The 13,776-nt window shown below is 34.5% G+C and overlaps 1 protein-coding gene across 18 annotated transcripts in view; it reads right to left on the reverse strand.

The window, feature by feature from the left end:
* The window catches only part of DENND1B (DENN domain containing 1B), a 277,403-nt gene that overhangs the window by 49,473 nt on the left and 214,154 nt on the right, over positions 1 to 13,776 (reverse strand). For 4 of the 18 annotated variants that reach the window (XM_047447731.1, XM_047447730.1, XM_011509251.4 and 1 more), the window contains one exon: positions 3,806 to 6,654. The exons of the other annotated variants lie outside the window; for them this stretch is intronic. In XM_047447731.1, the coding sequence (XP_047303687.1) occupies positions 6,604 to 6,654 (51 nt within the window). In that variant the 3' untranslated portion in view covers positions 3,806 to 6,603. Of the gene's footprint in view, positions 1 to 3,805; positions 6,655 to 13,776 lie in introns of those variants that run through there. 18 annotated transcript variants of the gene reach the window in all.

Below are 13,776 nucleotides of genomic sequence, written 5' to 3' on the forward strand. Positions count from 1 at the left end.
TACTCCATCCATAATTATGATGAGGTATCTTTAAGTCTTCCTTGCTTAAGAGGCAGGGGATAACATAGGAAAGATTTACATGCTTTTTGCAAGGAGGACTTGAAGATGGATTAAAACTTCCATCTTTTGGATGCATCCAAAAACTAACTAATCCTGACCATTTTTTACCCTAGAAATTTAAATTTTACCTGAACTAAAATAAAGTAGCTGGTCTTTAAAAAGAGAAACTCAGATACTTCCTTGGTTTTCTGTTTGAACGGTTAATGAACAAAACTAATTGAGATGAGTTGTATAGGACAATACAATATTCCTCAGCAGCAATTTAAGATAATTAATAGGCTGGGCGTGGTGGCTCACGCCTGTAATACCAGCGTTTTGGGAGGCCGAGGTGGAGGGATCACAAGGTCAAGAGATCGAGACCATCCTAGCCAACATGGTGAAACTCCATCTCTACTAAAAAATACAAAAAATATTAGCTGGACGTGGTGGCGCACACCTGTAGTCCCAGCTACTCAAGTGGCTGAGGCAGGAGAATCTCTTGAACCCAGGAGGTAGAGGTTGCAATGAGCCAAGATTGCACCATTGCACTCCAGCCTGGCAAGACTCCATCTCAAAAAAAAAAAAAAAAAAAAAGAGGGGGTGGGGAAGAGAATTAACAGCAGTAAGTCACACCAGTTATAAGACTTTGATTCAAAAATCTCTTACAGAAAAAATTAAGAAAGAATAGAAAATGAATCAACAGATTCATGTTCAAAATGTGCTTTACCCAGACCAAGGGAACAGAATAGAGACACCTGAAATAAAGCTGCACACCTACAACCAACTGATCTTTAACAAAATTGACAAAAATAAGTAATGGTGAAAGACACCCTTTTCAATATATGTGCCAGGAAAACTGGCTAACCATATGCAGAAGAATGAAACTGGAGTCTTACATCTCAAGATATATTAAAAAAAATTAACTCAAGGTGAATTAAAGACTTAAATGTAAGACCTCAAACTAAAAACCTTTCTCCCTAGAAGAAAACCTTTCTTCCTAGAAGAAAACCTAGGAAATACCTTTCCAGACACTTGCCTAGGCAAATAACCTATGACTAAGTCTTCAAAAGTAAATGTAACAAAACCAAAAATTGAAAATTGGGGCCCAATTAAACTAAAGAGCTTCTGCACAGCAAAAGAAACTATCAATGGAGTAAACAGACAACCTACAGAATGGGAGAAAATACTGGCAAACTATGCATCCAACAAAGGACTAATATCCAGAATCTATAAGAAACTTAAACCAACAAGAAAAAAACAAGTAACTCCATTAAAAATTGGGCAAAGGACATGAACAGACACTGCTCAAAAGAAGATATAAGTGGCCAAGAAACATATGAAAGAATGCTCAACATCACTAATCATCAGAGAGATGCAAATCAAAACCACAATGAGATACCACCTCACAGCAGTCAGAATGACTATTATTAAAAAGTCAAAAAGTAACAGATGTTAACGAATTTGTGGAGAAAGGGAACACTTATACACTGTCGGTGAGAGTGCAAATTAGTTCAGGCCCTGTGAAAAGCAGCTTGGACATTTCTCAAAGAACTAAAAATAGAATTACCATTCGATCCAGCAATCCCCATATTGGGTATATAGCCAAAGGAAAATAAATAATTCCTCCAAAAAGACACTTGCATTTGTATGTTTATCCCGGCACTATTGACATAGCAAAGACATGGATTCAACCCAGCTGCCTTTTACCAGCAGACTGGATAAAGAAAATGTGGTACATATACACCATGGAATACTTTGCAGCCATAAAAAAGAATGAAATCATGTCATTTGCAACCAATAAATGATGCTGGAGGCCATTATCTTAAGCAAATTCATGCAGAAATAAAATCAAATATTGCAAGTTTTCACTTAAAAGTGGGAAGTAAACATTGGGTATACAGGGACACAAAGATGGGAACTATAAACACTGGAGAGTCCAAATTGTGGGGAAAGGTGGGAGTGGGGCAGAGGTTGAAAAACTACTTATTGGGTACTATGTTCATTATCTGGGATATGAGATTATTAGAAGCCCAAACCTCAGCATCATGCAACATACCCATGTACCAAACCTACATATGTACCTCTGAGTCTAAAATAATGAATGAATGGAAACAACTATTAATGGAAAAATGTGGTTTAATCATCCTTTTATCATCATCTAATGCTTTTGAGTGAAAACTGTGGTAAGACAGGTTTAAATAAACATAGCCTAAAATAATGGAATCTTAGATTTTTTAGAGCATGAGTTGTTCTCACAAAACTTAGAACTATTTGAGGACAAGGACCATACATTACCCATTTTCACATCTTCATTATGCTTGGCATACAAAAGGTTTCCTATAGTATAAATTAACATGGAGTGTGGAGTATCAAAGGCCTGCATCACAACTTGGCCACTTACTAGTTTTATGATCTTGGGCCACTTGTCACCTCTAAGACTATTTCTCCTTCTGTAAAATGGGAGTAATAAAAATACCTTATGCGGTATTGCAAAGAGCTAATTAAAATAATATAAAGTGTCTGCATTGTGTACACCCAATAAATGCTAAATAATAAAGTCCACTTTCCCCAGTACCACCACCTTTTCTATCTCTGTCCAATTTTTATGAGCTTCCCAAGGGAAGGATCACTGTCTTTCACATGTATGCATCTTCAATACCTGGCAAAATACCTGCCATAAAGTTTGAACTGAGTAAATGTTGTGGAAAGACGGAAGTACACTTTAACAATGCTGAAGTTCATATACTTCTACCCAGTTTTAAAGGCAAATAATTATAATGCATAGAACTAATTCATTTCATTCTATCTTGAGGTCAAAGCTAGGAACTTATAATGTTGGCATCTTTGCTATACATAATGGTAATTTTTAAATAAGGTGGTTTAAAACGCATGCAAAATTTGACTTGCACACATTTGTAACACAGTATTATAAATCAAAGTGATCTCATTTGATGGACTAGTTATAATTTTTTTAAAAATAAAGTGAAAGCAAAATGATAAAGTGAAAGTAATACATTACTGACAAATAGAACAAACTAAGACATCCTTTAAAGGACTTAATTTGCTCTAAAAGATTAAGACTAGAAGACTTGCTAAAAGGTTTTCATTTTTGTGTTTACTGGAAATAATCCATCCATTTCAGAAATAAGTGGAACAGTTCAAGTCTAAAAAGCGATAAATCCCAAAACTATTTACTGATTATGCATTTTTGAGTATGAGTAACTACTCTGTCTTACTAACCTTGTGATTTGAGCCAACAGAAATTAATCACTCAGTAAAATGACATGTGTTATCACTGACTTTGCAAACAATCCTGTCAGTGGCAGACACCAATGTACACAATGAGTGAAAATGTTTGTTCTTGTAACAAAAGATTGATTTCATGCATATACATACATATATTATATGTAGATGCATATAAATAGACATCCAGGAATAAACTGAAAAGCGTTATTAATGAGAAGAATGCTGAATTTAACAGTTTTTCAAACACCTTTTTCTATTTTTATTCAATAACAGCTATTTTTCCCCCAAGTGGAGTTGGTTCATGGTTATACCACTTTAATAACTCTGGAGCATTTCATAATAAGTAAAAGAGATAAGAAAATTTTTAGTTACTGATGCAGAGAAATAATTTTGAACTAATAAAAAATCATCTCTGTTGGAAAAGCTGTGACTCTATAATGTGCTATCACATGTTGCCTTATAAACAGTTACCTATTTCATTTAGTAAACACATATCTACAGGTAATTGGAAGACATAAGCTTTGAAAGAATTAGTTTATTATTATAAGTAATGACAAATAGCATTGTTAATAACAATAAAAGTGACATCGATATAACATAAAATTAGGTTGCAAGTAGATTTTTAAAAGAACTTAAGAATTTGCTTTAAGATGATGCTTTTATATAAATCTTAATATTTTTCTTTTTATTCCAAAAGAAAAAAATTAAAATCTAGATCTAAACATGTTAATCACACCAAAACATAAATAACATAACTGGAAATCTTACAAAAATTCATAGATATTATCCCATAGTATGGATTCCATAATTTCATAAATTATAAATAGATAAAATTGATTTAAATAATAATACATGTAATTCTCAAGATCAATGACATTATTCCCTCTAAATCATCAACAATTGCAAGAACCAGATTTTGTTAATCTTTATGACATGATCTTTTTGCTTTCGGAGATGACAAGGATTTTAGGAGCTATGAGCCAGGAACCGTGGACAAAAACAAATATACATGTTACATAACACCAGAGGCCACGCTCTAGTTTTCAATCACGGGTCTGTTACATCAAAATAATATATATATAAAATCATTAATAATTAGTCCAGTCCATTATACTGGAGGGCACTCAGGTTTGCAGGTTTCCTTTCAACCTTGCTTATGACATGATCTTAAAGTACTGTGACAGGTTACAAGATAAATATTTTCAAGCAGCAAAACTGCTTCTGGCTCTTCTTTTTGATATTGATGTCACTAAGGTTTTTAGAAGTGTTTTTATCTTCCAATAGCCACCTAATACGACACTGAGTCAATTTAAAGAAATTATCTGTTGCTTTAAATATACTTCAGTAAGTAATACTGTTAAATGAAAATTAACATTCACTATTCAAATTCATTTTTTAAATACAATTAAATATAAAATGAATGTTTCAAATATGTAATATAAAGAATAGACTCCATAGGAGGCTTCTTTCCAAAAAATATAAAGAATATGTTTTGATCAAAGTCACAGATTACACTTCAATATAGCTGCCAGTAAACTGGTAGGAATGTATATGTCCTCTAAGAGATAAGTCATATGCCTTTTACAATTCTTTAATTATTTACCAGTCAGTGTATTTCCAGCATTGAATCTAAAAATCCTAAAACAAGTTATGCTATTATCAGTGTTCTAATTCCCTTAGTGGTCTAGACACATGTTATATAAATATTTAATTGCAATCACTCCATCAAAACTCTATGACAACTGAATTTCAGGATTCTAGTATCATTTTAAAAGAAATATTTGATCTTTTTTAAATCCTTATAAAAAAGATTCTGGTAGAGAGATGAGGCAGTGGTGCAATTCTCTGCCGAGCTGAGGAAGTAGCAAGATTCAGTGTTGTTTTTTGTGTTAACATGGCAGTCCTGTTACTGAAGCAAAGCTGCAGAAGTGCTGAAGCAACACAATAAACAAATCTACACACCCAAATTCCTTCTTCAGCCTGGAGGAAACATTACCATGGCTCAGAAATTTATCTCACATTAGAAACCCTTCTTAGGTACAAAGATAAGAGGTAACTAATAGATTCAAGTCTTGAGAGCTAGAGAAAAATAGTTTTAAAAATCAATCAGCAATTTAAGGAAAAATAAATACAGTAAAAAATTGCTTTCAAAAATAAACTAATTTCTTATGAATCTTTAAAATTTGCCTTTTTATATAATGCTCCGGGCTAAAAATTTAATAAGTCTAATTTAAATATTTCTTCTTAGAAATGTTCAGTAAACCTTGACAGGTTAGTGAAAACTACACTGAAGTGTTACAATAAATTACATCAACAGATATTTATAGACACCTGCTAAATGCAAGCCATTCAGTTAGTAGCTATATATAAACACAAACTGCCTACAACAAGTGGGAATAAGCAAGGTAGGTCAGCTCAAACTAAGAAAATTAAGTATGTGGGAGAATAGAAATAAATTGTTATTTTTATGCCATTAGGTAATGAGATGACTATCAGGCTCCAGTATACTAAATTAGACTACCATGGTATCATGAACAGGAAAACACTATGAAGAGTATTAAGAGCCCACTCAGTGCAATGTACTATTAAAACTAATAACCTAAAATAACAGTAATAAGACAACAATACTACTTTCAAGGATATGTCAATTGACATTAAATAATGTGCTAAAGAATTTAGTCTGCTGAACCTTATGATCACCAGACCAAAAGAATCAACTAATTATATTATTCAGGGAATATTTCGCTGAATATATATGCTATATTCCAGGCACTTTCCTAGACACCTGAAATACAGGAATAAATGAAGCAGGCAAAAATCCAAGCCCTTGTGATGCTTAAACATGTAGCGGAGGTAGGGGAAGAGAGTTTTAGCATGAAATAAGAAACAACAAATGATGTAGTATGTGAGAAAGTGATGAGTGTTAGAGAATAAGATAGACTTCCTAAGGGAAGTTAGGAAATCTAGGGCAAGGAACTTTCTATTTTAAATAGTGTGGTCAGGGTAGGTCTCATGAAGACAGCATTTAAGCCAAGTCTTCAAAGCCATGAGGAGGTTTAATGGGAAAAGAGGATTCCAGGCAAAGGGAATAGCCAGAGTAAATACCCACACTGGAGTAGGAACAGGCAGGTACTCAGCAGGCCTGTGGCAGGCTCCATGTATCAGGAGAAAATCCCATCAGCCATAATGACTATTTGCACTCAAAATTTATAAACCTCAACCTCCAATAGGATTTGAATACCAAGCAATTCTATTTTACTTTGCAGTCACTCCATTCACTCTCCCCATCCATTTCACAATGTCCTATCTTCTTTCTCCTTAAATGTTTAACGACCTCTCCCATTCTCCTTCAGTTGACGATCTTTCTTCCTAATTTCACCAAAAAAGAGAAAATCGAAGTAATTAAAAGAGAAATTCTACAAGCTCTAAGTCACACATTTACCTACCTCACCCATCTGCGCTCACAGACTGCCTTTTCTCCTGTTATGAATAAACTGCCTGTGCTCTTGCAAAGACTAACTTCTCTAACAATTTTTCCTTCTCTCTTCTGAATATAGTTTTATTTCTTAACTAGATCTTCCCAGCAGCATACAAACATGTTATTTCTTCTCTTGACCCCACTTACTTCTCTAGTTATGTGCTATTCCATTCTTCACAGCAAAATTCAAAAGAGCTGTCAGTACTTTGTGTCTACGTCCTCTCCTCTCATGCTTCAATCACAATTTCTGTCTCACCACGTCAGCAAAATTGCTCTTGCTAAGGTCATCATATATCCATGGTTACTAAATCCAGTAATCAATGCTAGGTCCTTGTTTTAATGAGCCTGTCATGAGCATTTGACAGTGTTGATCCCTCCCTCTTTGGTATTCTTGTTGGCTGCTAATATAAAGTACTCTTCTGGTTTCTGTCCTACCTAATTGTTCATCCACTCTTTCATAACCTCCGTTGCTAGTGCCCTCTTATACTACTTTCTTATCATTTCTATTTATACTTTTTCCTTTGGTAATCTCATCTAATCTACATGCTGATGGCTTTAAATTCTACCTACATGCTGATGACTCCAAAATGTATATACCTCCAGTCCAGTATTCTCCCCTCCTCCTTTATCCATCCACTTACCTAATCAATATCCTGCTTGCATCTCCAATAGATATCTTGACTTAATATGTCTGAAACTCAACTCTTGTTCTTCTTGACGAAATCATCTTCTGCCCACAGTCTTCCCAATCTCAATTTTAATTGAGACAAATACTTCCTTCCAGTTTCTCAGATGAGATAACATGGAATCATCCATGACTCTGCTTTCTCTCATCTTTATATCAAATCCTTCAGAATATCTATTGGCTTTATTTATAAAATAAACCCATATTCTGACCAAATCTCATCATATCTTCAATCAACAGTTCCACACTGCCATCAATTTCTCACCTAGATGACAGCAATAGTTTTCTAAATCTTCTTTCTCTCTGTTTCCACTTTTGGCCACCCCACAGGATACCGCTGAAGTGACACATATTCCAGGAAATCTACATTGACTATATTATTTTAAATTGTAATCCTACCCTCACCTCTGGTAGTCCCCATTTAACATACCCTGTTCTATCTACTTTCCCATAGTACTTCTGATCTTTGAAGATCAACATTAGTTTTAAATTATAATTTGTTATTAGAAATAAAAGTTTCACAAAGTCAGAGATTGTCTTCTTCTTCATTCTCTGATGTACCCCACACAAAACACTTCCTATTATACAATGGATACAGGCATATCTCATTTAATTGAACTTCACTTTACTGCACTTCAAAGACAGCTTTTACAAATTGAAGGTTTGTGGCAACCCTCCATTGAGCAAATCTGTCAGTGCCATTTTTCCAACAGCATCTGCTTACTTTGTGTCCCTGTGTCATATTTTGGAAACTCTTACAATATTTCAAACTTTTTCATTATAATCATATTAGAATTACAGGATTATATTATATGATTATAGTTGTTATGGTGATCTGTGATCAGTGATCTTTGATGTAACTATCATAATTGTTTTAGGGTGCCAGGAACCACCCCCACATAAGTCAGCAAGCTTAATTGATAAATGTTGTGTGTGTCCTGACTGCTCCACTGACTGGCTATTCTCCCATCTCTCTCCCTCTCCTCAGGCTTTCCTATTCCCTAATTAATAACCTTACAATGACCTCCACGCATCCAAGGGAAAAAGCTAAAAATGATGAAGCTTGTTGAGGAAGGCATGTCAAAAACTGAGACAGCCTGAAAGCCAGGCCTCTTGCACCAAGCAATTAGCCAAGTTGTGGATGCAAAGGAAAAGTTCTTGAAGGAAATGGAAAGTGCTACTGCAGTGCCCACACGAATGACAAGAAGGTGAAACAGCCTTATTGCTGAGATGGAGAACGTTTGAGTGGTCTAGATAGAAAAAGTCAAACGAGCCATGACATTCCCCTAAGCCAAAGACTAATCCAGAGCAAGGTCCTAACTCTCTTCAATTATATGAAGGGTGAGACATGTGAGAAAGCTGTAGGAGAAAATTATGAAGGTAGGAGACATTGGTTCATGAGATTTAGGGAAAGAAACCATCTCTACACATAAAAGTACATGGTAAAGCAGCAAATGCTGATGCAGAAGCTGTAGCAAGTTATCCAAAAGATCTAGCTAAGATTATTGATGAAAGTGGCTGAACAACACATTTCCCAATGAGGATGAAACAACCTTCTATTGGAAGAAGATATCATCCACGACATTCATAGCTAGAGAGGAGAAGTCAATGCCTGGCTTCAAGGCTTCAAAGCTTCAAAGGACAGGCCAACTCTCCAGTTAGGCGATAATGCAGCTGGTGACTTTAATTGAAGCCAATGCTCATTTGCCATTTAAAAAATCCTTGGGCCCTTACAAATTATGCTGAGTCTACTCTGCCTGTGCTCTATAAATAATACAAAGCCCAGATGACAATACATCTGCTTACACCATGTTTTACTGAACATTCTAAGCCCACTGTTGAGATCTGCTGCTCAGAAACAAAGACTCCTTTCAAAACATGACTGCTTACTGACAATGCACCTGGCCACCCAAGAAACTCTAATGAGATATAAAAGGAGATTAATGTTGTTTTCATGCCTGCTAAAACAATATTCATTCTGCAACCCATGGATCAAGGAGTAATTTTGACTTTCAAGTCTTATTATTTAAGAAATACATTTCATTAGGGCTACAGCTACCATAGGTAGTTATTCTTCCAATAAATCTGGGGAAAGTAAATTGAAAACCTTCTGGAAAGGATTCACCATTCTAGATATCATTAAGAACATTCATGATTCATAGGAAGAGGTCAAAACAGCAACATTAACAGGAGTTTGGAAAAAGTTGATTCCAACCAGCTCTCATGGATGACTTTAAGGGGTCCAAGACTTCTTCGAGGAAGTAACTGCAGATGTGATGGAAACAGCAAGCAAACTAGAATTCTAAGTGGAACCTGAATACGTGACTAAATTGCTGTAATATCATAATAAAACTTGAACAGATGAGGAGTTACTTCTTATGGATGAGGAAAGAAAGGAGTTTCATGAGATGAAATCTACTCCTGGTGAAGATGCTGTGAAGAGTGTTGACAATAATGAATTTAGAATATTACATAAACTTAGTTGATTAAGCAGCAGAAGGGTTTGAGAAGATTGACTCCAATTTTGAAAGAAGTTCTACTGTGGATAAAATGCTATCAAATAGCACCATATGCTACAAAGAAATCTCTCATGAAGGTAGGAGTCAATTGATGTGGCAAATTTCATTGCTGTCTTATTTTAAGAAAAAGACAACCACCCCAACCTTCTACAGCCACCTCCCTAATCTGTCAGCAGCCATCAATACTGAGGCAAGAACCTCCACCAGCAAAAAAAAAAAAAAAAAAAAAAAAAGATGATTTGTTAAAAGCTCAGATTATCATTACCATATTTTAGTAATAAAGTATTTTTCAATTAAGGTATGTACATTTTTTAGACACAATGCTATTGCACACTTAATAGACTATAGGACAGTATAAACCTAATGTTTATATGCACTGGGAAACAAAAAACTTTGTGTAATTCACTTTATTGCAATATTCACTTTATTGTAGTGGTCTGGAACTGAACCCACACTATCTCTGAGCTATGAGTAAAGAATACTTAAAAAGTGTTTCTTAAATTTTAGTGTTCTTACTTTTTATGGCATTTCATTAATAATGTATATTTCTGGGCTTTAATCCAGGCCTCTTTAATCATTAGTTTTGAAGGTGAGACTCAAGAATATGCATGTTTAACAGGCTCTCCAGGTAAGTCAGTCTTACCATAAGAGAGCAAGCAGTCTGAGACTACACTCTGAGAAACACTATTTAGGATATTGAAATCAGTTAACAAGAGATGCTGGGAGAAAAAGTATCCTTTATCCTGATAAACTGTCTCCTCTTGTACATTTCTTCTGTCATTATGTCTCTATATTCCCCCATGTCACATTACATTTTATCATTTTTTCATGTTATAAAATACATGCTTGATGCAATTACCATCTCCTATCTATTCATAACTCAAATCTTTCTTAACACTCCAAAACTGTTGAATCTTCATTTACTAGTAATACAAGTGCTGACATTAGCTATAGATTACATACCATGAATCACTATCATGAAAAAGAATAATAGGAAAATGTAGAAATCTGTAACAATTTTTTATGTTAAAAGCTTTTAAATATCTTCTGAAAATCTGTAGCTAACATAAAAGGAAATATTTCACTTTGGTCCCACTCCTTTTATTCAACATCTTATTATGTCAGGGAAAGTAGATCACAGCACAAAACAGAGCAAGTGCTCAGGATCTCATAGAATTTCCACTTCTACATGCTACACCACTATGTGACTCCAAGTTTAAAATTGTAGATATCATTTTATTTAAAATACAGTAACACTTTACTCCTATAATTTTCTTTTTTTTCTTTCTTTTTTTTTTCTTTTATTTTATTATTATTATACTTTAAGTTTTAGGGTACATGTGCACAATGTGCAGGTTAGTTACATATGCATACAAGTGCCATGCTGGTGTGCTGCACCCATTAACTCGTCATTTAGCATTAGGTATATCTCCTAAAGCTATCCCTCCTCCCTCCCCCCACCCCACAACAGTCCCCAGAGTGTGATGTTCCCCTTCCTGTGTCCATGTGTTCTCACTGTTCAATTCCCACCTATGAGTGAGAATATGCAGTGTTTGGTTTTTTGTTCTTGCGATAGTTTACTGAGAATGATGGTTTCCAATTTCATCCATGTCCCTACAAAGGACATGAACTCATCATTTTTTATGGCTGCATAGTATTCCATGGTGTATATGTGCCACATTTTCTTAATCCAGTCTATCATTGTTGGACATTTGGGTTGGTTCCAAGTCTTTGCTATTGTGAATAGTGCCGCAATAAACATATGTGTGCATGTGTCTTTATAGCAGCATGATTTATAGTCCTTTGGGTATATACCCAGTAATGGGATGGCTGGGTCAAATGGTATGTCTAGTTCTAGATCCCTGAGGAATCGCCACACTGACTTCCACAAGGGTTGAACTAGTTTACAGTCCCACCAACAGTGTAAAAGTATTCCTATTTCTCCACATCCTCTCCAGCACCTGTTGTTTCCTGACTTTTTAATGATTGCCATTCTAACTGGTGTGAGATGGTATCTCATTGTGGTTTTTATTTGCATTTCTCTGATGGCCAGTGATGGTGAGCAATTTTTCATGTGTTTTTTGGCTGCATAAATGTCTTCTTTTGAGAAGTGTCTGTTCATGTCCTTTGCCCACTTTTTGATGGGGTTGTTTGTTTTTTTCTTGTAAATTTGTTTGAGTTCATTGTAGATTCTGGATATTAGCCCTTTGTCAGATGAATAGGTTGCAAAAATTTTCTGGTACCAAAACAGAGATATAGATCAATGGAACAGAACAGAGCCCTCAGAAATAATGCCGCATATCTACAACTCCTATAATTTTCATACAGCTCTTAGATAAGTTTCATTATATTAATTTTCATAAACTCCTCATCTACTAAAACTGTCAAAATATTTTCATGCATATTCCTTATAATAGGGAATCACTCATCAACTTTTCATTTATTTATTTAATAAACTTAAATGCCTATTATGTATTAGCTATTAGGATACAAAAACACTTAAAGCATGAACCTTGTTTTTACAGAGTCTACAACACAAGAAGGAGCCAAACAAACCAACAAATATCATATGGTGCTAAAAGAAGGGAAATTCATAGAAGTATGAGAGGTAAAAAAAAAAAATTCCTGGAAAAGGTGTATCTGAGCTTGGTCTTAAAGAAAGAATAGACTGAGTTGTGGAATGTAAAATGGAGAGAGGATATTCAAAGCAGAGAAAACAAGAACAACAAGTATATGTGCATTTCTTCATTCATTTATTCCTAGAGGGACAGTAAATCATAAAGACTAATGACAGTAAATAAAGACAGAAATAGTGACAGTAAATAAAGATTAGAACAGAACTAAATGAAATAGAAACTAGAAAGGCAATAGAAACGATCAATGAAACTGAACATTAGATTCTGAAAAATTAAACTGACAAACCTTTAGCTGGTCTAACTAAAGAAAAAAATAAAGAAGCCTCAAATAAGTAAAATTGGAAATGGAAGAGGACACAGTTCAACTGATACTACAGAAATATAAAGAATCATAAGAGTCTACTATAATCAACAATTATACACCAACAAATTGAATAACCCAGAAGAAATGAATAAATTCCTAGATACAACCTATCAAAACTGAATTATTAACAAATAATGAAATAATGAACAAGGAGACTGAATCAGTAGTCAAAAATCTTCCATCAAAGAAAACCCCAGACCTGATGACTCCACTGCTGAATTGTAACAAACATTTAAAGAATACCAATCCTCAAACTCTTCAAAAAAACTGAAAAGAAGAGAATATTTCCAAAGTTATTTTATGTGGCCAGCATTACTCTCACACCAAAGCCAGACAAGGAGACTCCAAAAAGAAAGCGAATTACATCCAATGTCCCTTAAACATAGATGCAAAAATCTTCAACAAAATACTAGCAAACCAAATTCAACAGTGTTTTAAAAGGATTATCCCTGGAATGCAAGGATGGTTCAACATTCACAAATCAATAAATGTGATATACTACATTAACAGAATAAACGGCAAAAACCTTATGATCACATCAACAGATGCACAAAGGCATTTGACAAAAATCAACACTCATGATGAAAACACTTAACAAATTATGTATAAAATAATTTATCTCACCACAATAAAAGGAAAAATATAACAAGTTCACAGCTAATATAATAGTCAATGGTAAAAAGCTAAGATAAGGAACAAGACAAGAGTTCTCATTCTCACCATTTCTTTTAAACACAGAAGTAGAAATCCTAGTTAGAGCAATTCATGAGGAAATAGAAATAAAAGGCATCCAAACTGGGGAGATGAGG

Source organism: Homo sapiens, chromosome 1, assembly GCF_000001405.40.
Source record: "Homo sapiens chromosome 1, GRCh38.p14 Primary Assembly".
NCBI lineage: Eukaryota > Metazoa > Chordata > Mammalia > Primates > Hominidae > Homo > Homo sapiens.